Here is a 20,902-nt window from a genome sequence, read left to right as displayed (position 1 = left end):
AAAAAGAAAAAAAATTAGCTGGGCTTGGTGGCGCCTGTAATTCCAGCTACTAGGGAGGCTGAGGCACGAGAATCGCTTGATCCCGGGAGGTGGAGGTTGTTGCAGTGAGCCGAGATCGCGCCACTGCACTCCAGCCCGGGCGACAGAGGGAAACTGTGTCTCAAAAAAAAAAAAAAAAAAAAAGACAGAAAGAAAGAAGAAAGAGAAAAGAAAAGAGGCGACTGCAACTGAAGCCTGATTCTGACGAAACACACGCACACGGAAACTTGGAGAGACGCAGGACAGGATCCCGGCGGCAGAAGGACGGAGAGAAAGGGGACCCCGGGACGGGAAAGGCGCAGAGCAGGCGCGGGCGGCGGCGGCGGCGGGGCAGGGCAGGGCGGGCGTCCCGGCAGAGGGCGCGCGGTCGCCCTGTCGCCCTCCGCCCCGCCGGGGTCACAGTGCCCCCTCCCTCGCGCCCTAGCCGCCCTGCCGGGCTATTTTTACGCGCGGACACCGGACACCGGACACCGGGCTGGGGCGGCGGCGGCGGCGGCCGAGGCGGCCGAGGCGGGGCCGCACCGGGGCCGGGCGTCGGGGCCACACGTCGGTTCGCGGGTCGCCGGGGCTGCGCGCGCCATGGAGCCGCGGTGCCCGCCGCCGTGCGGCTGCTGCGAGCGGCTGGTGCTCAACGTGGCCGGGCTGCGCTTCGAGACGCGGGCGCGCACGCTGGGCCGCTTCCCGGACACTCTGCTAGGGGACCCAGCGCGCCGCGGCCGCTTCTACGACGACGCGCGCCGCGAGTATTTCTTCGACCGGCACCGGCCCAGCTTCGACGCCGTGCTCTACTACTACCAGTCCGGTGGGCGGCTGCGGCGGCCGGCGCACGTGCCGCTCGACGTCTTCCTGGAAGAGGTGGCCTTCTACGGGCTGGGCGCGGCGGCCCTGGCACGCCTGCGCGAGGACGAGGGCTGCCCGGTGCCGCCCGAGCGCCCCCTGCCCCGCCGCGCCTTCGCCCGCCAGCTGTGGCTGCTTTTCGAGTTTCCCGAGAGCTCTCAGGCCGCGCGCGTGCTCGCCGTAGTCTCCGTGCTGGTCATCCTCGTCTCCATCGTCGTCTTCTGCCTCGAGACGCTGCCTGACTTCCGCGACGACCGCGACGGCACGGGGCTTGCTGCTGCAGCCGCAGCCGGCCCGGTGAGAGGCGGGGCGTGGGTGGAGACGGGCGGGGTTTGGGAGGAGATGGGCGGGGTCCAGAGGGGACCTGGCCAATCATAAGGCGGGGCCAGGGGCTGCGAGGGGTGGGCCAGCCGAAGACAGGGTGGGCGGGAGGCGGGGCCTGAGGATCCGGGTCGGAGGACCTGCCCCATCAGAAGGTGGGGTTGAGGTCAGTGAGAAACCCGGCGTGAAGAGGGCAGGGCCCTTGATGCAAGGGGTAGGAGGACAGGAACCTTAAAAATCACAGCTGAGGGGGGCCAAGGAGAGCCTGAAAACTCCGGAGTCTGTGCGGCTGGGTGGTGAAAGCCAGGCCCTGAATAACTCCAGCTGAGGGTGCTGGAGCCCGAGGGGCGACAGTAGGAGGAATCTATGGAAAGAAAGCCAGGTTGAGGGGCCAGAGGAGGGGGCCTAGGGCTCGGCTTGCAGAGAAGGTCTTTTTTTTTTTATTTCCTGTGAGACAGAGTCTTGCTCTGTCGCCCAGGCTGGAGTGCAATGGCGCTATCTCGGCTCACTGCAAGGTCTGCCTCCCGGGTTCAAGCGATTCTCCTGCCTTAGCCTCCCAAGTAGCTGGGATTACAGGTGCAGGCCACCACGCCCGGCTAATTTTTGTATTTTTAGTAGAGATGGGGTTTCACCGTGTTGGCCAGGATGGTCTCTATTTCCTGACCTCGTGATCCGCCCGCCTCGGCTTCCCAAAGTGCTGGGATTACAGACGTGAGCCACCGCGCCCAGCCGCATTATACTCTGGGCTGGGACTGTGGAGGGCAAGGAAAAGCTAGGCACAAGGTGGTGGGGCCAGGGCAGGGATGCTCCCCATCTAGAAAATCAACACTGGAGGCGGGACTTTGAGAGAGAAGAGGTTGCACCCTACTCAAACATGAGTTCCCACGCATGAAGGGGCAGGGACCACGTCTCCAGCCACCCACCAGGTCAGGCAACCAGAAAGTCAGCGGCCCAGGGATGATCCCTGGGATCCTGGGAGGAAGTCTGGGATAACCAGGTCACGGAGGGCCTTGGCGCAGCGGCTACTGACCAATGTGTAAAGAGGAGCTGGGTATTTAAATGATGATTAAGGCTGTCCCCGTGTCCTAGCCCCAGCCTGACCCTCCCTGAACACTTTCCTCCCTGCAGTTCCCCGCTCCGCTGAATGGCTCCAGCCAAATGCCTGGAAATCCACCCCGCCTGCCCTTCAATGACCCGTTCTTCGTGGTGGAGACGCTGTGTATTTGTTGGTTCTCCTTTGAGCTGCTGGTACGCCTCCTGGTCTGTCCAAGCAAGGCTATCTTCTTCAAGAACGTGATGAACCTCATCGATTTTGTGGCTATCCTTCCCTACTTTGTGGCACTGGGCACCGAGCTGGCCCGGCAGCGAGGGGTGGGCCAGCAGGCCATGTCACTGGCCATCCTGAGAGTCATCCGATTGGTGCGTGTCTTCCGCATCTTCAAGCTGTCCCGGCACTCAAAGGGCCTGCAAATCTTGGGCCAGACGCTTCGGGCCTCCATGCGTGAGCTGGGCCTCCTCATCTTTTTCCTCTTCATCGGTGTGGTCCTCTTTTCCAGCGCCGTCTACTTTGCCGAAGTTGACCGGGTGGACTCCCATTTCACTAGCATCCCTGAGTCCTTCTGGTGGGCGGTAGTCACCATGACTACAGTTGGCTATGGAGACATGGCACCCGTCACTGTGGGTGGCAAGATAGTGGGCTCTCTGTGTGCCATTGCGGGCGTGCTGACTATTTCCCTGCCAGTGCCCGTCATTGTCTCCAATTTCAGCTACTTTTATCACCGGGAGACAGAGGGCGAAGAGGCTGGGATGTTCAGCCATGTGGACATGCAGCCTTGTGGCCCACTGGAGGGCAAGGCCAATGGGGGGCTGGTGGACGGGGAGGTACCTGAGCTACCACCTCCACTCTGGGCACCCCCAGGGAAACACCTGGTCACCGAAGTGTGAGGAACAGTTGAGGTCTGCAGGACCTCACACCTCCCTAGAGGGAGGGAGGGAGGGCAGGGTGGAGGGCAAGGCTGGGGGGAGGGGATTGGGTTTAGGAAGAGCTAGGTTAAGTCGTAACGAGTGGGGAAACACTGAGTCTTGTTGGGTCTTGGGTTGTGTGGTTTGGTAGCTCCTGTGGGTACCTCCTGAAGCAGCAGCGAATGGCAATGGGTTGTGTTGTGTTAATGAAGACTCAATTGGTTCATATTACTCTGAGTTGTGCAAAGCTCATGGAGCCTTTTGGGGTAGTGTTGAGATAGGTTTGGTCGTATCATTTTGTGAGTTTCCTAGGTCAGTGTTGGGTTTGGTTGGGTTGTGAGTCTGGGATAGTGTGGTCCAGCTGCATTGTGTAGGATTCTGTGGTTTGGTGGGTCCCCTAGGGCCATGTTGGGTCAAGTTAGATGGTCCCCCATGGCATTGTTGAGATCGAATGTGTGTGGTGTTAAGTTTCGTTGAGACATGGTGGAAATTGTGTAGCTCTGTGATTCTTCCAGGGGCATGTTATTTTAGGTTCTGTGAACTTGCGAGTCATGTAGAAATGTGAAGAGTCCAGTGGTAGAATTTGAGCTTTCTAGGTCACATTGGGTTAAGTTTGTATGACCAAATGAATCTTGTAGGGTTCTGTTGGGCTTAACTGTGTAGAGGTGTGTGGCTGGACATTTTTCGTGGCCACAGCGAGTTGAGTTGTGTTGAATTGTACAACCATATGAGCCTTGTAAGGCCAGTTCAGTTGGGTCATGCCACTGTTTGAGTCTCATAGGGCCATGCTGAATTGAGTTCCATTGAGTTGTGTCACTATGTGAGTCCTACAGGAAGTTGGGTTGAGTTGGACTGTGCGAACGAGTTCCATAGGGCCACATCGGGCTGTTTTGCATTTAGTGGTAGCACCAGGACCCAAAGGAAATAGCAGTGGGGAAGCATCATGTATCTGGGAGCATGCAGTGGCGAGGGCTCTGGGAGGTGTGCCGAGCTGGCTCCCCAGCTCGCTGTAGGGGGCGGGACTGGATTCTGTATCCATGGGATTGGGTGTTCATCCAGAGGCGACTGGGTAAATTAGGAAGAGGTGGATGCTCCTCCTGTTTACCCCACATCCACTTCATTGTGCTGTTCACTCCCATTCTCCCCTACAGTTTTATGCTCAGACATGGAGGTCAGAGCCACAAGGGAAAGGGGAGAGGGGGAGAAAACTGTACTCTGTCCAGACATGATAGAGGGACAGAGCCAAAAGGATAGAGAAAGAGACCCAGAAAAAGGAAGAGGTGGAAACCCAGAGAGACAGAGACCCAAAGGGAGAGAAACAGAGACTCAGGGAGAGGGAGACAATGACCTGGAGGGTGGGGTATGGCAGAGACGCAGAAGAGAGGAACAGAAATCCAGAGTGGGGAGACAGAGACCAAGAGCAGGGGATAGAAGCCGGGCGAAGTGGCCCATGCCTGTAATCTCAGCACTCTGGGAGACCGAGGAAGGGGGATTGATTGAGGCCAGGAGTTCAAGACCAGCCTGGGCAACATGGTGAGACCCCATCTCTACAAAAAATACAAAAATTAGCTGAGTGTGGTGGCACATGCCTGTGATCCCAGCTACTCAGGAAGCTGAGGCAGAAAGATCCCTTGACCCTGAGAGGTAGAGGCTGCATTGAGCCATGATTGCACCACTGCACTCCAGCCTGGGCAACAGAGGGAGCCCCCGTCTCAACAAACAAACAAAAAGAGCCAGTGGGGGAGGGAGGGACAGAGACCCAGAGGGCAGCGTCAGACACCCAGAGTTGGAGACAGAACAACAGAGTCTCAGGGAAAGAGAACCACAATAGAAAAAGGCAGAAAAGGCCGGGCGCGGTGGCTCATGCCTGTAACCCCAGCACTTTGGGAGGCCGAGGTGGGCAAATTACGAGGTCAGGAGATCCAGACCATCCTGGCTAACACGGTGAAACCCCGTCTCTACTAAAAATACAAAAAAATTAGCCGGGTGCGGTGGCGGGCACCTGTAGTCCCAGCTACTCGGGAGGCTGAGGCAGGAGAATGGCATGAACCTGGGAGGCGGAGCTTGCAGTGAGCCGAGATTGCGCCACTGCACTCCAGCCTGGGCAGCAGAGCAACACTCTGTCTCAAAAAAAAAAAGAAAAGAAAAGAAAAAGCCAGAAAAAGTTGGTGCCCCTGAACCCAAGAGTGATGTACAGTCTATTCCATAGAATCACAGAACAATCCTGAACCAGGCCTGTCACCTACCCTCCCTGCAGCTCAGGAAGGCTGTCAGACAGGCTGGGGGCCTCACTCTGTTTTCCAGGGGAGAAACCTGAGTCTCAGAGCAGGGGAGTGGCTTCCCAAGGTCTCACAGCTTGTCCCCAGGGGCCAGGCAGGCTGTCTGTCTGCTTCACATGTCCCCATCAGCCTGCTGGGACACACGGGTCCTCCTGAGTCCCGTAGCCTCATTTCTTACAGACGGGGAAACTGAGGCTCAGAGCAGCAGGTGTTACCCAAGGTCACAAGGCCGAACATTTTCAGAAATCTTTCAGAACTCAAAGGGCATTTAGAGGAAGAAGGCTGAAATCACTAACACATATAGGGCTTCCTTTGGTATCAAAGTACTTTACTTGGGTTAATTTATTAAAACCTATCCAGTGGTTTACAGACTGTTGTTGTTATTTTTAGCCATACCCACCCCTTTTTTGGGTCAAATAAATCTTCCTTAGAGACACCAGTGGGAAGCATGGGAAGGGAACTGGTTGGAGGAGAACACGCCTCCTCTTGGCAACTCAAAATGCAGCTCAGGAATTCAGTGTGGAAACCCCTGGTTTCATCTGAGCACCTTTTCATACAGCTAAAGAGAAGGTACAGATGGTGAGAGGAGTTTGATAATGGTTGAAATTAATAGAAGCTTTAGGTAGTCACTTCTCTCTGAAATGGAGAGAAAGCCAGATTTAGGGACAGAATGGAGACGGACCTCACAGTGACAAGAGACAGGTTGGACTCCAGCACAGAGACCTAAAGAGGAGACACAGACAGGAACTGAGGCCAGGAGGGAGGAGAGGCACAGAGCAAAAGAGAGAAATCCAAGGGCAAGGGGGAAGAGGGCAGATGGCCGGGAGCGGGAACAGAGACCCCCACGAGGGGAAAGAGAAGCAGACAGTGACCCCAAGAGAGAGGATGCAAGAGGCTCAGCAAGAAGGAGACTGGGACCCAGAGAGGGTGGACAGATATCCAGAGAGAAGAAAACTGGGACCTAGAAAGAGGGGGACAGAGACCCAGAGAGAAGGGGGGACAGAGACCTGGGGGGGAACAGAGACCCAGAGAGAGGGGGGACAGAGATCCAGAGACAGAGAGAGAGACAGAGACCCAGAGAGTGAAGGGGACAGAGACCCAGAGAGAGAGGGGGACAGAGACCCAGAGAGAGAGGGACAGAGACCCACAGACAGAAGGGGACAGAGACCCAGAGAGAGAGGGGGACAGAGACCCAGAGAGAGAGGGACAGAGACCCAGAGAGAGAGGGGGACAGAGACTCAGAGAGAGAAGGACAGACCCAGAGTTGGAGGGAGACAGAAATCCAGAGGGAGGGGAACAGAGACCTGGAGATAGGGGGACAGAGACTGTTTCCCAGTCACTCTGTTTGGAAACCTCATCCCTACTATCCCCTCCAGGACTAGAAGCTAGAAGCTAGAAGCTAGAGTCCTCCTGCTATGCGGCAGGATGTATTGGCTGTTTAGGAACAGGGGAAGGGTGGAGAAGCCGGAGAGGTGACCTGAATGCACACCCAAAGCCTGGGAAGTGGCCCTTCCCCCCACCCCCAATAAATAACTGGAGCGGCCTTGTGTGTTGCCTTGGCTGGGATGGTGAGGAGCAGGAAACACCCTAACCGGGGACACCCTCCTGCCACCTTGCCATGCTATATTTAGGCTGAGGGGGTGTGGGATGACCCTCGAGGCAGGTGTCAGTTTTCCTTCTGAAAATAGCGCAGGCGGAGGGGAGCGGAGTCTCAGGGTAGAGGTGTGGTGGGGTGAGGAGCCCCGCTGCCCTCATGACTGTCCTGAGACACTCCGGCTCCGGTCCCATCCCTGTCTTTCTCAGGGTCTCTCAGGGGCTCTGTCCCCTTCTCGGGGGGGTGGGGGGGTCTGCCCTCACGCTCTCTGGGCCTCTGTCTTCTCTCTGGGCTCCTGCCCTCCCCCACTCTCTCTAGTCTCGGTCCCCCTCTTTCTTTTGGTCTCTCCCCACTTTTCCATGTCTTCTCCCTATCTCTCCCTTCATGTCACCGCGCACCATTTCTCAAGGTAGCTGATTGTTCTTAAGACACATCTGTCTATCTCTGGTCCTATGATACCTTGCACGTCTCTTATCTGAGCTCAGGACAAGACCTTCTCCCCGGTCCCCAGCCAGGAAATTCCAGGGGAGAGGAGTATGCGGGAGCCCCCACATCCACTGTCTCCCCGGGCCTGGGGCCTTATCACTGCCCAAGCCCAGCTGGTTAATGTCTGGCGTGGAGCTCCTGGGAAGTGGGGAGGAGAGCAGAGGGTGGGAATCTGCCCCGGGATTGACACGCAATTGGCAAAAGACGGCAAAGGAATCTCAGGCCCAGACTCCTGGGGCTAATGGAGGAGGAGGCTGGGGGCTGGACTCCTGAGTCTGAGACGGGGCGGGGTTGGGAGGTGGTGGGGGGAACTGTGGGCTTAGTACTCAGGCGCCTGGGGCTGGGGGGAGAGGTGGCTGGGGTCGCAAGTCCTGGGTCTGAGGGAGGAGGGGCCGGATGCCTGGACTCCTGGGTCTGAAGGGAGGAGGGGCTGGGGGCCTGGACTGCTAGGTCCAAAGGAGGAGGCAGCTGGAAACTGGGACTCCTGTGACCAAGGCGGCCGCGTTGAACGAGCCAGGCCTGGCTTCCAAGGTCCCGGCACGCGAGTGCAAGGCAGGATCCCCCGGCCCCTCCTCTGCCGCCCGGCGCCGCCCCGCCCCCGCCCCCGACCCGGGCCCTGCGGAGCGTGAGCAGCTAGCACCCGGCGGGCCAGCGAGCGTCCCTGCAGCCAGCGAGCAGGAGGAGGAGCTGCTGCCGGGCGGAGGGCAGCCGCGGGAGCCGAAGAGGGCGCCCCAGGTAAGATCTCCACTCCTCCTCCCTCGGGATTCCGGCGTCCTGGTCGCCCTGCCCTCGGGTGGGGAGGGACGGGGGCGGGGCCGACCGGGGCGGGGCTTGGCGGAGGAAACTGAGGCAAGAGGGAAGTGTCCCAGATATGCAGCCGGTTTCCCCTGAGGGGTCTCGGAGTCCGGAACCCCCAACCCAAATCTGGAGGATGAGGAACCCGGAGTCTGCATTTCTTAGTATCCGAGAAGGAGGGGCCTGAATTCCAGAACTCCTGGGTCTGAGAGAGGAGGGCACTGGGGGCCTGGATTCCTGGGTCTGAGGGAGAAGGGCGCTGGGGGCATGGACTCCTGGGTCTGAAGGAGGAGGGCGCTGGGGACCTGGACTCCAGGGTCTGAGGGAGAAGGGTGCTGGGGGCCTGGGCCTGGACTCCTCCTGGGTCTGAGGGAGAAGGGTGCTGGGGGCCTGGACTTCTGGGTCTGAGAGAGGAGGGCGCTGGGGGCCTGGACTACTCCTGGGTCTGAGGGAGGAGGGCGCTGGGGATCTGAACTCCTGGGTCTGAAGGTGGAGGCCCTGGGGTCTGCACTACTCGGTCTGAGGGAGAAGGCGGTCCTGGTTGGGTCAGCCTGGGCTCCTTTCACTCTCCACCCTTCCCCTTTCCTGTACCGAGGAGCCAGGGCAGGCAGCCACTCCAGGTATGTGCAGAAGTCTTGGGCGGGCCCTGGCCTGTCCTGTGAGGAGGGAACATTCCAGGAAGCAGCTTGGGGAACCAGGGCTTCTTGAGTGTGGGCCCTCAGGGACCCGGGTGTCCAGGCCAGTTCCGCCCCATCTGGGAGATGAATGGGCCGAGGGGGATGTAATCTCTTCCAGCCTCCTTCATCCACTGCCTCTCCCTTCCCCTATTCTCCCTTCCCCTCCCTCCATCTGCTTCCCATCCCAGCCAGGAGCCATCACCTGGGTAGAAAAGGGGCCTCTGGAAAGGGGGCGGGGCCTTGACTCTTGGGTACCCTGCACTTGAAGAGGAACTCTGGGAAGGGGTTGTTCAGGGATTTGGCCCCTTCCCCACCTGCCTCTATAACCTGTCTATTCTTTTCTTCCCCTAGGTGGTTGCCCCCTCCCTCTCCTGAGATGTCAGGAAGGAGGGGGCCACCTGTGTCCTCCACAGGGGCCCCCCGAAGCCTGGGGACTCCCAGCCCCAGAGCTCCGAGGCGGAGGAGGTGCTGACAGGTCTGGTAACTACTGACTGTTTCCCAGTCTTCTCCACGCCACCCTTTCCCAGAACCACAGGCTTCCAGAATGTTGTAGGGAAACTGCAAAATCCGCGCCTCCACCAGCCTCTCCCAGCGCCAGGTCAATTTCACACACAGGGAAACTGAAGCCTGCCTCAGAGGGGCAGCGTTTTACCTCCTTAGTGGCAGTTTTGAGGTGAACTGGGGTCTCCCTAGGATTCCAGGTTGTGACCTTTCTCTAAATTGTGGAATGTGGCCAGGCGTGGTGGCTTGAGTCTGTAGTCCCAGCTACTCAGGAGGCTGAGGCAGGAGAATGCCATGAACTTGGGAGGCGGAGCTTGCAGTGAGCCAAGATCGTGCCACTGCACTCCAGCCTGGGCGACAGAGGGAGATTCCATCTCAAAAAAAAAAAAAAAAAAATTTTGTTTGGGACCAGGCATGGTGGCTTATGCTTGTAATCCCAGCACTTTGGGAGGCCAGGACACGACTATTGCTTGAGGTTGGGAGTTCAAGACCAGTCTGGCCAACATGGTGAAACCCCATCTCTATTAAAAATACAAAAATTAGCTGGGCACAGTGGCAGGTGCTTGTAATCCCACCTACTCAGAAGGCTGAGGCAGGAGAATCACTTGAACCCAGGAGGCAGACATTGCAGTGAGCCAGGATTGTGCCACTGTACTCCAGCCTGGCCAACAGAGTGAGATTCTGTCTCAAAAAAAAAAAATTGTTTGGAACATCCTCCAAGATGCAAGACTGTCGGTTCCTCAGAGTTGCACAGGAAGGACGGCAGAGTGCAGTTGCCCAGAGGTGAAGTCCCATCTCTGCCATTTGCTGGCTGTGTGACCGGGCACAAATCATTAACTTCTCTGAGCCTGTATTTCAACATCTGTTACTGTTAAGTAATAGTAGTTGAATTATTTTTATTTTTATTTTATTATTATTATTGTTTTTTAAGACGGAGTTTCGCTCTTGTTGCCCAGGCTGGAGTGCAATGGTTCAATCTCAGCCCACCACAACCTCCACCTCCTGGGTTCAAGTGATTGCCCTGCCTCAGCCTCCCAAGTAACTGGGATTACAGACATGCGCCACCACACCCGGGTAATTCTGTATTTTTAGTAGAGAAGGGGTTTCACCATGTTGACCAAGCTGGTCTGGAACTCCTCACCTCAGGTGAGCCGCCCATCTCGGCCTCCCAAAGTGCCGGGATTACAGGTGTGAGCCACCATGCCTGGCCTTATTTTTACTTTTGAGACAGAGTCTCACTCTTGTCGCCCAGGTGGCAGGGGAGTGGTGCACTCTCTGCTCACTGCAACCTCGGCCTCCTGGGTTCAAGTGATTCTCCTGCCTCAGCCTACTGAGTAGCTGGGATTACAGGCGTGCAGCACTATGCCCGGTTAATTTTGGTATTTTTGGTAGAGATGAGGTTTCACCATGTTGGCCAGGCTGCTCTGGAACTCCTGACCTCAAGTCATCCACCTGCCTCAGCCTCCCAGAGTGCTGGGATTAGAGGTGTGGGGCACAGTGCCTGGCCTGTAGTAGTTGAATATTTATTATTAATCTACAAGTTGCGCATTACGCAAGCCCTAGATATAGGGTCCCCCAAACTTCTAGAACAAGGGCTTCCCCACAATCCTGGCAGGCAAGCCTCCCCTGGGGTTCCCAACTTCTTTCCCCACTGAAGTTTTTACCCCCTTCTCTAATCCCAGCCTCCCTCTTTCTGTCTCCAGGTGCTCCGAGAGATGCTCCCTCTCCCCTCATGCTCCCTCCCCATCCTCCTCCTTTTCCTCCTCCCCAGTGTGCCAATTGAGTCCCAACCCCCACCCTCAACATTGCCCCCTTTTCTGGCCCCTGAGTGGGACCTTCTCTCCCCCCGAGTAGTCCTGTCTAGGGGTGCCCCTGCTGGGCCCCCTCTGCTCTTCCTGCTGGAGGCTGGGGCCTTTCGGGAGTCAGCAGGTGCCCCGGCCAACCGCAGCCGGCGTGGGGTGAGCGAAACTGCACCAGCGAGTCGTCGGGGTGAGCTGGCTGTGTGCGATGCAGTCAGTGGCTGGGTGACAGACCGCCGGACCGCTGTGGACTTGCGTGGGCGCGAGGTGGAGGTGTTGGGCGAGGTGCCTGCAGCTGGCGGCAGTCCCCTCCGCCAGTACTTCTTTGAAACCCGCTGCAAGGCTGATAACGCTGAGGAAGGTGGCCCGGGGGCAGGTGGAGGGGGCTGCCGGGGAGTGGACAGGAGGCACTGGGTATCTGAGTGCAAGGCCAAGCAGTCCTATGTGCGGGCATTGACCGCTGATGCCCAGGGCCGTGTGGGCTGGCGATGGATTCGAATTGACACTGCCTGCGTCTGCACACTCCTCAGCCGGACTGGCCGGGCCTGAGACCCATGCCCAGGAAAATAACAGAGCTGGATGCTGAGAGACCTCAGGGATGGCCCAGCTGATCTAAGGACCCCAGTTTGGGAACTCATCAAATAATCACAAAATCACAATTCTCTGATTTTGAGCTCAATCTCTGCAGGATGGGTGAAACCACATGGGGTTTTGGAGGTTGAATAGGAGTTCTCCTGGAGCAACTTGAGGGTAATAATGATGATGATATAATAATAATAGCCACTATTTACTGAGTGTTTACTGTTTCTTATCCCTAATACATAACTCCTCAGATCAACTCTCATGGATTTGATCATTGGTGGCCCTTGGTGTTAAGTTGCTGACTACTCAGTCTCAGAGGACACCACCTTGCTGGGGAGTGGGAGGGGACATTTCACGATGTGGGTGGAGGAGGAGAGAAACTAGAACAGGCAAGCAGATGGCCAGGGGACCTTGAGAACGTGGCCCACAGAAGGCCTTTAAGTATCTGGGAGATGGGGTTCAAATGGGAAATCTTACTTGGTAAGAGGGGGCAAAGGTTGACTTAGAATATTCTGTTTTGAGGTAATAAGCTACCGATCACAGAGGAGTACAAGCAAGGTTGAATGAGAAGTGATCAGGATGCTGGAGAGTTCAGCCCTCGGCAGGGAGCTGAAGTCAGGTTTCTAGCCCTCTTCCCTGTCCCAACCTTTACTCTACATTGGGAAAGAAACAGACCTTAAAATTTTCCAGCTTGATGGCCAGGTGCGATGGCTCATTCCTGTAATCCCAGCACTTTGGGAGGCCGAGGTGGGTGAATCACCTGAGGTCAGGAGTTCGAGACTAGCCTGGCCAACATGGTGAAAACCCGACTCTACTAAAATTATATAAAGAAATTAGCTGGTCGTGGTGGCGGATGCCTGTAATCCAAGCTACTCTGAAGGGTGAGGTAGGAGAATTGCTTGAACTCAGGAGGCAGAGGTTGCAGTAAGCCAAGACTGTACCATTGCACTCCAGCCTTGGCAAAAAGAGCGAAACTCCATTTCAAAAAAAAGAAAAAAATTTTGTCCAGCTTGAGTGGGGCATGAGTTTCTGACTAACTCATCGGCCCCCTGGCTAGGATCAGGGGGTCACTGTCCATTGAGAGCTGTTGAGTAGGGCCAGCAAAATCCAACAGAAAGGCCCCAGAAGCCTGAATGGGGGAGGAGGGGTAAGTGGGATCCTGGGCATGGCTGCAGAAAGTAGCCTCAGTTTTCCTTGTCTGCAGAATGGGCTGGTAGGATGAGATAATGGGGGTTGAGCAGTCAGAGGCCTTGACCAAAAGCTTTTTTTTTTTTTTTTTTTTTTTTTTTTTTTTTGAGATGGAGTCTCGCTCTGTCACCCAGGCTGGAGTGCAGTGGTGTGATCTGAGCTCACTGCAGCCTTCACCTCCCGGGTTGAAGTGATTCTTCTGCCTTAGTTGGGATTACAGGTGTGCGCCACCACGCCCGGCTACTTTTTGTATTTTTTGGTAGAGACAGGGTTTCGCCATGTTGGCCGGGCTGGTCTCAAACTCCTGACCTCAAGTGATCCGCATGCCTCGGCCTCCCAAAGTGCTGGGATTACGGGCATGAGCCACTGCGCCCGGTGATCAAAAGCTGTTTATAGTGAAGAAGTGACAAGGGAAGCCAGGGACAGACCACAGGCCTTCACAATAGCCCTTCACATGTTACCCATCGCCCCACCAACTCTCTCTCTCTCTCTCAGGTCCAGCTTTGAGCAAAGGACATAGGCAACTTCTCCCCGCATCTATACAGACCAGGCCCCTGGGCAGGGTGGGGCGTGGCTGCCTCAGTTTCTACGTCTCCTTGTTTTCCATCTGTGACTTTGGTCGTTTTTGCCACCTTCATCTCTGTCTCTAACTTCCAGTGTCTGTCGCCTCTGGGTAGTACTAATAGCTCCCTTTCCATCGTGGTCTCTTTCTTCCTCCCTGTCTCTCCCCTTTCTTGTTGTATTTATTCCTCACTCATCAAAGCCCATCTTTTTCGCTATGGTCCGGTGCACTTCTCTCTAGATCCCTTTCTCTTTCCCCACCCAGCCTACCCAGGTGGAAGTTTTCAACCAAATCAAAGGCAGGCAGGACAGCTGACACCAGCGCTGACTCCTTCAGCACGTGCGGGAAGGGTTGGGGAGCCCCGGGGACATCTGGAAATCGTTACCCCGAGGTGGGCAGGCCTGGCAGAGGGAGGAAGCAGCCAGGAGGTTCTGGACCCTGGAGCAAAGGGGGGTGTTTCTCATGGATGTCCTGAGGTGCTGGGGGCAGTGCAGGGGTCTCTGTCTGTATCTCTGACACCCCCAGGTCTCTGTCCTTCTTTCTGTGTCTCTGTCTCCCCCACCCCCTGGGTCTCTGAAATCCTGAACTTCTCCATCCCCTTCTGTCCGCCTCTTTCTGACTCTCCATCCCCCACTCCGTGTTTCTCTGTGCCCCTCTTGGAGTCCCTGTCTCTCTGTCTCTGGGTCTCTTAATCACTCCATCCATCCATGTGCCTGCAGGCCTTTCATTGGCTGGATTGGGGTGGGCGGGTTCTGTCACCTGGGGCAACAGCAACAAACCAGCTCCTGCTTGGCTACAGGGAGGGGGTGGAACCATGGCCAGTGGCACCCTGGCTGTGCGCTGTGGCCCCCCGTGGTCTTTCATCTCTGCAACCGAGATGCCTGAATCCTGGCCCAACTGGCATCTCACCAGCAGCTACGTTACCCATGGCATTATCCCACCCGTACCCTTCCCCCCGCCCACGGTGCAGGTGGGCAGACCCTAGGCTGAAGCCCTGCGGGGCCTGGGGACCCAGAAAGATGGGGGCTGAGAAAAGGGGATTGGGAGCTTGGACTCCTCTCTGAAGGAGGAGGGTCCTGGAGTCCTGGGTCTGAGAGAGGAGGCGCCAGGGAATTTGGATGCCAGGGACTGCAGAGGAAAGGGCTGGGGGCCGACTGGAAGAGGTCAGAGTTTGGGGTGGGGGGTGATAGGGACTCCTGAGTCTTTCTAGCTGATGTGCGGCGCCTTCTCTCCAGTCCACGGTCGCGGACCCTCTACCTCCGACTGCAAAGCAGGATTCTCGCATCTGGGCTTTCGACGAGGTCCTCAGCAGATGGGAGACAACCTCTGGCTCGGCCTACGTGCCCAAGACCCATGGCGGGCCCTGCGCCCAGCCCAGAGCCCCAGAGCCTGCAGACCCCACGCGGACTGTGGGGATCAAGGATTCAGGAGAAAAGGTAAGATTTGGGGAGCGCCGGAGTCTGCGGGGGACTGCATTTGAGTCCCCTGCTCCTTCACATGAGTCTCTGGGTTGCCTTTCCGCAGCTCAGACACCGCAGCTGAACCCTCCTACTGACCACAAAGTACCAGAGCAGCGAGACGAGGGCGCAGTACACTTGCTCTCCCGGCCCGGACGCGCGCGCCCCCAAATACGTCGGGCCCCAGCCCCTCACAACTCTCGGACCACCACCGCGGGGGGCCTTCCCAGGTGTCTGGGTGGAAGCCGGCGCTGGCGAGACCAGCGGAGCTCCGGGAGCCTGGGGCGGGGCCAGAAGGAAATCACAGCTTTGGGGCGTGGCTAAAGGATCTGGGGCGGGATCGGGAGGTTAGAGGAGCGGGAGGAAGGGCTGGGCATCCACGCCAGGCCAGAAGGACCAGGGGCTGGAAACTCGCCTTCAGGGCTCCTAAGCTGCTGCGGAGCTAGACGGCGGGCTGTGGGTGGGGAGGAGACTAGAATATTCTGAGACGTGGTAGGGTGGGAGTTAGGAGAGGTAACCTGGAGTTGTTGCCCAAGATGCAGCTCAGCTCCAGTGGCCACACCAAGAAGGCTTGAGACCGGGGGCAGAACCAGGGGGATTTTGTGGTGGCTGGGGGCCTGCATTTGAGTTCCTTGACCAGCAGGAGGGCTTGGATTTAGGGAGGTGAGGCTGGGAAGGGTTCGGGTATGAGAAAGGAAGCTGAAGTTCCCTGGCGTGGGTGGCAGGAAGGGCTCTGACCCTGGGGCGGGGTGTGAGGGCCGTGGCCGTCATGGCTGTCGAGGCCGAAGGAGAGGGATTCTGAACTCGGGACCCAGGACTTGGGATGGGGTATGAAATCTATGTCTTGGGTATGCCTCCTCCCCCAATCTTGCTCAGGCTCTAATCGCCTGCACGAAGAACCCCGCGCTGTCTGGCCCACCCTTCACAGTATCCGACCGGGGCGTCCTGAACCGCCGCCAGCTCTATCTGACCACCTCGGCGCGGGACTTTCGGTTCTATCCCAAGTAAGCCGGGCTCTCGCTCGGCACCGCCTCCTGCACAGCCCCCGCCATGGCCGGTGCACGCCGAGCCCCTGGGCTGGCTCCCATTCCCTGACCGGTGGTCTCAGTCTCGACTCCTATAGCAGCAACAACCACAGTTCAGACCCCAGCCCCTCCCTCTTTTAGCACCCAGGAGTCCTTAGTGTCACCTCCAGGAACCGCGGTAGGGACAGGAAGCCTGCACAGCGGCTCGAGGGGATTCTGGATCTGAGGGCAGGGCCTCCTTCGGTACTTGAGCCCCCACATGCTCCTTCGCAAGGAAGCGAAAGCCCCCGTTTCCTTCCCTAGGATGCGAAAGCTCAGCTTCCAGGACGTTAAGTACCTCGAGGACCCAGGAACGCAGGCAACGCGTGCCCGGTCGCGTCCTTCCTAAGGGGTGCTCGCCTGGAAATGCAGGAGTTTGAATGTGCAGACTCCTTAGATCCCGAGGTCTGAAACTCGTCCCCAAGGATCCAGCTGTATCCTCACCATCCCGCCCTGCTCCCACAGGACGGAGCCGTCCGGATACCCCCGCAAGGACTACCTGACCTACTGGAGCTTAGAAGAGACGCCCCAACTCTGGAGTCACGACCCGCAGCGGCAGCCCTGTCTCTGCTCTTCCAGGCCGCCTCGAGCGCCGCACGGCGGGCCATGTCTCCGGCTCAGGAAACCTACAGCTCCTCGCCGCACCCGCTCCGCCGGCTCGACCGCTTCCGCCCGCTGGAGGCGACTTGGGGTGGCCCCCACTGGAAGCCCCTGCCGGGCATACACAGCGTCCCGAAAGCCTACAGCACCGAGAACTCCCGCTCAGGCCGCTGTAAGCCGGGGCTAGTGGGAGCCTGCCGGGCCAGCCCCACCCCAGACACGCCCCCTGGCGTGGGGGCGGAGCAGAGCTCTGGGCAGCCGCTCACTACGCGGTGTCGGACCTAGGTGGGCTCGCACTCATTAAGTCTATCCGCAGTGTGGGGACAGGACTAGCCCAGACACGCCCACTCAGCTGCGGCTGGATCGCGGGGAAGGGACTAAGTCCAGACAATGTCCTCCGAGGCTGCGGCCCCGCGGGCAGGACACACCTCCTGCGGGCCTATTCAATAATCAGTTAAATCACCTGAAGCACACGCATTTCCGGGGACCGCTCCGGGCATCCTGGCTTGAGGGTAGGGTGGGCGGAGGTTCCTAAGGGAGAGGTGGGGCTCGGGCTGAATCCCTCGTTGGGGGGCATCTGGGTCAAGTGGCTTCCCTGGCAGCACAGTCACGGGGAGACCCTCTCTCACTGGGCAGAAGCTAAGTCCGAAGCCGCGCCCCTCCTGTTAGGTTGGACTGTGGTGCAGGAATGGCTCAAGTAGAGGAGGGTTGAGGCTTCAGTCCAGCACCTTTCTCGGGTCACGGCCTCCTCCTGGTTCCCAAGACCCCACCATAGGCAGAGGCAGGCCTTCCTACACCCTACTCTCTGTGCCTCCAGCCTCGACTAGTCCCTAGCACTCGACGACTGAGTCTCAGAGGTCACTTCACCGTGGTCTCCGCCTCATCCTTGGCGCTAGACCACTGAGGGGAGAGGACTGGGGTGCTCCGCTGAGCCACTCCTGTGCCTCCCTGGCCTTGTCTACTTCTCGCCCCCCGAAGGGTTAGTGTCCAGCTCACTCCAGCATCCTACAACCTCCTGGTGGCCTTGACGCCCCCACAAACCCGAGGTATAAAGCCAGGTACACCAGGCAGGGGACGCACCAAGGATGGAGATGTTCCAGGTAAGACTGCAGGGCCCCTGGGCACCTTCCACCTCCTTCCAGGCCATCACTGGCATGAGAAGGGGCAGACCAGTGTGAGCTGTGGAAGGACGCCTCTTTCTGGAGGAGCGTGACCCCCAATAAGCTTCACGTGGGGCAGTTCCTGAGGGTGGGGATCTGAAATGTTGGGGCATCTCAGGTCCCTCGGGCTGTGGGGTGGGCTCTGAAAGGCAGGTGTCCGGGTGGTGGGTCCTGAATAGGAGATGCCGGGAAGGGTCTCTGGGTCTTTGTGGGTGGTGTACCCTGGGGGATGGGAAGGCCAGGGCTCAGGGCTGTGGTCTCAGGCCCGGGTGAAGCAGTGTCCTTGTCCCAGGGGCTGCTGCTGTTGCTGCTGCTGAGCATGGGCGGGACATGGGCATCCAGGGAGATGCTTCGGCCACGGTGCCGCCCCATCAATGCCACCCTGGCTGTGGAGAAGGAGGGCTGCCCCGTGTGCATCACCGTCAACACCACCATCTGTGCCGGCTACTGCCCCACCATGGTGAGCTGCCCGGGGCCCGGGCAGGTGCTGCCACCTCAGGGCCAGACCCACAGAGGCAGCGGGGGAGGAAGGGTGGTCTGCCTCTCTGGTCAGGGGCTGCGGAATGGGGTGTGGGAGGGCAGGAACAGAGGGCTTCCTGGACCCCTGAGTCTGAGACCTGTGGGGGCAGCTGGGGAGCTCAGCTGAGGCGCTGGCCCCAGGCACATGCTCATTCTCCCACTCACACGGCTTCCAGACCCGCGTGCTGCAGGGGGTCCTGCCGGCCCTGCCTCAGGTGGTGTGCAACTACCGCGATGTGCGCTTCGAGTCCATCCGGCTCCCTGGCTGCCCGCGCGGCGTGAACCCCGTGGTCTCCTACGCCGTGGCTCTCAGCTGTCAATGTGCACTCTGCCGCCGCAGCACCACTGACTGCGGGGGTCCCAAGGACCACCCCTTGACCTGTGATGACCCCCGCTTCCAGGCCTCCTCTTCCTCAAAGGCCCCTCCCCCCAGCCTTCCAAGTCCATCCCGACTCCCGGGGCCCTCAGACACCCCGATCCTCCCACAATAAAGGCTTCTCAATCCGCACTCTGGCGGTGTCTTTCTGTGGGCTCAGGGCAACCACACACACACAGGGTGGGTCCAGCTTCCAAACCATTTTATACAAAGTCACAGTATCAGAACTCTGGTAGAAAACAGGGTGGACGGCGGGGCGCGGTGGCTCACGCCTGTAATCCCACCACTTTGGGAGGCCGAGGCAGGCTGATCATGAGGTCAGGAGATCGAGACCATCCTGGCTAACACGGTGAAACCCCATCTCTACTAAAAATACGAAAACTTATCCCGGCTTGGTGGTGGGCGCTTGCAGTCCAAGCTACTTGGGAGGCTGTGGCAGGAGAATGGAGTGAACCTGGGAGGGGGAGCTTGCAGTGAGCCGAGATCACACCACTGCACTCCAGCCTGCATGACGGAGCGAGACTCCATCTCAAAAAAAAAAAAAAAGAAAGAAAGAAAGAAGGAAAGAAAGAAAAAGAAAAGAGAGTGAAGATGGGGGACGACATCCAGCTCAGGAGGTGTCCATGGTCTGGCCTTCTGTGGGGAGAAGGAAGGCCACATGATTGGTGTGGCCCAGGGGGCAGGGCCTCAGCCTCCTAAGCCGAGCTCCGTCTTCCTCCCTCTGACGTTGGCACTGGCAGTGCAGGTGTGGGGGGGGAGCGGCTTGGGGACTTGAATGGGATGAAGGGGCCGAGGGGGATGTCATCTCTTCCATTCTCCTTCATCCACTGCCTCTCCCTTCCCCTCCTCCCCCCTCCCCTCCGTCCATCTGCCTCCCATCCCAGCCAGGAGCCATCACCTAAGTAGAAAAGGGGCCTCTGGAAAGGGGGCGGGGCCTTGACTCTTGGGTACCCTGCACTTGAAGAGGAACTCTGGGAGGGGGTTGTTCAGGGATTTGGCCCCTTCCCCATCTGGCTGTATAACCTTCCTGTGCTTTTCTTCCCCTAGCCGGTTACCCCTCCCTCTCCTGAGATGTCAGGAAAGAGGGGGCCACCTGCGTCCTCCACAGTGGTCCCCGAAGCCTGGGGTTCCCAGCCCCAGAGCTCCGAGGTGGAAGAGTTGCTACAGCTCTGGTGACCACTGGTTGTTTCCCAGTCTTCTCCACGCCAACCTTTCCCAGAACCACAGGCTTCCAGAATGTTGTAGGGAAACTGCAAAATCCGCGCCTCCACCAGCCTCTCCCAGCGCCAGGTCAATTTCACACACAGGGAAACTGAAGCCTGCCTCAGAGGGGCAGCGTTTTACCTCCTTAGTGGCAGTTTTGAGGTGAATCAGGGTCTCCCTAGGATTCCAGGTTGTGGACTTTCTCTAAATTGTGGAATGTGGCCAGGCATGGTGGCTTGAGTCTGTAGTCCCAGCTACTCAGGAGCCACAGCAGGAGGATGGCTTGAGCCCAGGAGTTCAAGTGCAGTGGGGAAACATAGGGAGACCTCGTCTTAAAGCAATTTGTTTGGGGCCAGGCGTGGTGTCTCAGGCCTATAATCCCAGCACTCTGGGAGGCCAGGGCAGGAGTATCACTGGAGGTTGGGAGTTTGAGAACAGTCTGGCCAATGTCGTGAAACCGCATCTCTACTAAAAATACAAAAATTAGCTGGGCACGGTGGCAGGTGCTTTTAATTCCAGTTACTCAGAAGGCTGAGGCAGGAGAATCGCTTGAAACCAGGAGACAGGCGTTACAGTGAGCCGGGATTGTGCCACTGTACTCCAGCCTGGCCAGACAGAGTGAGACTCTGTTTCAAAAAAAAAAAAAAAAACAACAAAACAAAACAAACAAAAAAAAATTGGGCCGGGCGCAGTGGCTCATGCCTGTTATCCCAGCACTTTGGGAGGCCGAGGTGGGCAGATCACAAGGTCAGCAGATCAAGACCATCCTGGCTAACACGGGGAAACCCCGTCTCTACTAAAAAATACAATAAATTAGCCAGACGTGGTGGCAGGCCCCTGCAGTCCCAGCTACTCGGGAGGCTAAGGCAGGAGAATGGCTTGAACCCGGGAGGCAGAGCTT

The 20,902-nt window shown here is 58.1% G+C and overlaps 3 protein-coding genes and 1 pseudogene across 11 annotated transcripts, besides 5 other annotated features; all 4 read left to right on the top strand.

Moving 5' to 3' along the window:
• Positions 1 to 504: 504 nt before the first annotated feature.
• KCNA7 (potassium voltage-gated channel subfamily A member 7) lies at positions 505 to 5,807 on the top strand. The gene is made up of 2 exons (NM_031886.3): positions 505 to 1,173; positions 2,326 to 5,807. The coding sequence occupies exons 1-2, from the start codon at positions 619 to 621 to the stop codon at positions 3,139 to 3,141; spliced, it is 1,371 nt and encodes a 456-aa protein (NP_114092.2). The 5' UTR covers positions 505 to 618; the 3' UTR covers positions 3,142 to 5,807.
• Positions 613 to 1,112: an enhancer, noted in NCBI's record as "H3K4me1 hESC enhancer chr19:49575349-49575848 (GRCh37/hg19 assembly coordinates)". NCBI's record gives its function as "activates a minimal SCP1, AML or CMV promoter by ChIP-STARR-seq in naive and primed H9 embryonic stem cells {active_cell/tissue: H9 hESC(naive and primed)}" and the evidence as "EXISTENCE:reporter gene assay evidence [ECO:0000049][PMID:30033119]".
• Positions 1,113 to 1,614: an enhancer, noted in NCBI's record as "H3K4me1 hESC enhancer chr19:49574847-49575348 (GRCh37/hg19 assembly coordinates)". NCBI's record gives its function as "activates a minimal SCP1, AML or CMV promoter by ChIP-STARR-seq in naive H9 embryonic stem cells {active_cell/tissue: H9 hESC(naive)}" and the evidence as "EXISTENCE:reporter gene assay evidence [ECO:0000049][PMID:30033119]".
• On the top strand, positions 8,169 to 14,920 carry NTF4 (neurotrophin 4). 8 transcript variants are annotated; one of them, NM_001395489.1, is made up of 3 exons: positions 8,169 to 8,253; positions 9,342 to 9,465; positions 11,195 to 12,076. In NM_001395489.1, exon 3 carries the CDS (start codon positions 11,207 to 11,209, stop codon positions 11,837 to 11,839), a length of 633 nt encoding a protein of 210 aa, NP_001382418.1. In that variant the 5' UTR covers positions 8,169 to 8,253; positions 9,342 to 9,465; positions 11,195 to 11,206; the 3' UTR covers positions 11,840 to 12,076. The 8 variants fall into 8 exon arrangements, 6 of the variants coding, with proteins under 6 accessions (NP_001382418.1, XP_047294847.1, XP_047294848.1 ...); XM_047438891.1 differs by having other exon boundaries at positions 9,342 to 9,588; XM_047438892.1 differs by lacking the exon at positions 8,169 to 8,253 and adding an exon at positions 8,386 to 8,516 and having other exon boundaries at positions 9,342 to 9,588.
• On the top strand, positions 13,368 to 17,787 carry LOC124904739 (uncharacterized; annotated as a pseudogene).
• CGB7 (chorionic gonadotropin subunit beta 7) lies at positions 15,455 to 18,930 on the top strand. 2 transcript variants are annotated; one of them, NM_033142.2, is made up of 5 exons: positions 15,455 to 15,539; positions 15,956 to 16,083; positions 16,609 to 17,843; positions 18,196 to 18,363; positions 18,599 to 18,930. In NM_033142.2, exons 3-5 carry the CDS (start codon positions 17,829 to 17,831, stop codon positions 18,911 to 18,913), a joined length of 498 nt encoding a protein of 165 aa, NP_149133.1. In that variant the 5' UTR covers positions 15,455 to 15,539; positions 15,956 to 16,083; positions 16,609 to 17,828; the 3' UTR covers positions 18,914 to 18,930. The 2 variants fall into 2 exon arrangements, with proteins under 2 accessions (NP_149133.1, NP_001372190.1); NM_001385261.1 differs by having other exon boundaries at positions 15,455 to 15,742.
• Positions 16,175 to 17,027: an enhancer, noted in NCBI's record as "H3K27ac-H3K4me1 hESC enhancer chr19:49559434-49560286 (GRCh37/hg19 assembly coordinates)". NCBI's record gives its function as "activates a minimal SCP1, AML or CMV promoter by ChIP-STARR-seq in naive H9 embryonic stem cells {active_cell/tissue: H9 hESC(naive)}" and the evidence as "EXISTENCE:reporter gene assay evidence [ECO:0000049][PMID:30033119]".
• Positions 17,028 to 17,881: an enhancer, noted in NCBI's record as "H3K4me1 hESC enhancer chr19:49558580-49559433 (GRCh37/hg19 assembly coordinates)". NCBI's record gives its function as "activates a minimal SCP1, AML or CMV promoter by ChIP-STARR-seq in primed H9 embryonic stem cells {active_cell/tissue: H9 hESC(primed)}" and the evidence as "EXISTENCE:reporter gene assay evidence [ECO:0000049][PMID:30033119]".
• Positions 18,556 to 19,106: an enhancer, noted in NCBI's record as "H3K27ac-H3K4me1 hESC enhancer chr19:49557355-49557905 (GRCh37/hg19 assembly coordinates)". NCBI's record gives its function as "activates a minimal SCP1, AML or CMV promoter by ChIP-STARR-seq in naive H9 embryonic stem cells {active_cell/tissue: H9 hESC(naive)}" and the evidence as "EXISTENCE:reporter gene assay evidence [ECO:0000049][PMID:30033119]".

This window comes from Homo sapiens, chromosome 19, assembly GCF_000001405.40.
Source record: "Homo sapiens chromosome 19, GRCh38.p14 Primary Assembly".
Classification (NCBI taxonomy): Eukaryota; Metazoa; Chordata; class Mammalia; order Primates; family Hominidae; genus Homo; species Homo sapiens.
The sequence above is the reverse complement of the archived record's forward strand: the minus strand, read 5'-3'. Positions and strand labels throughout refer to the sequence as shown.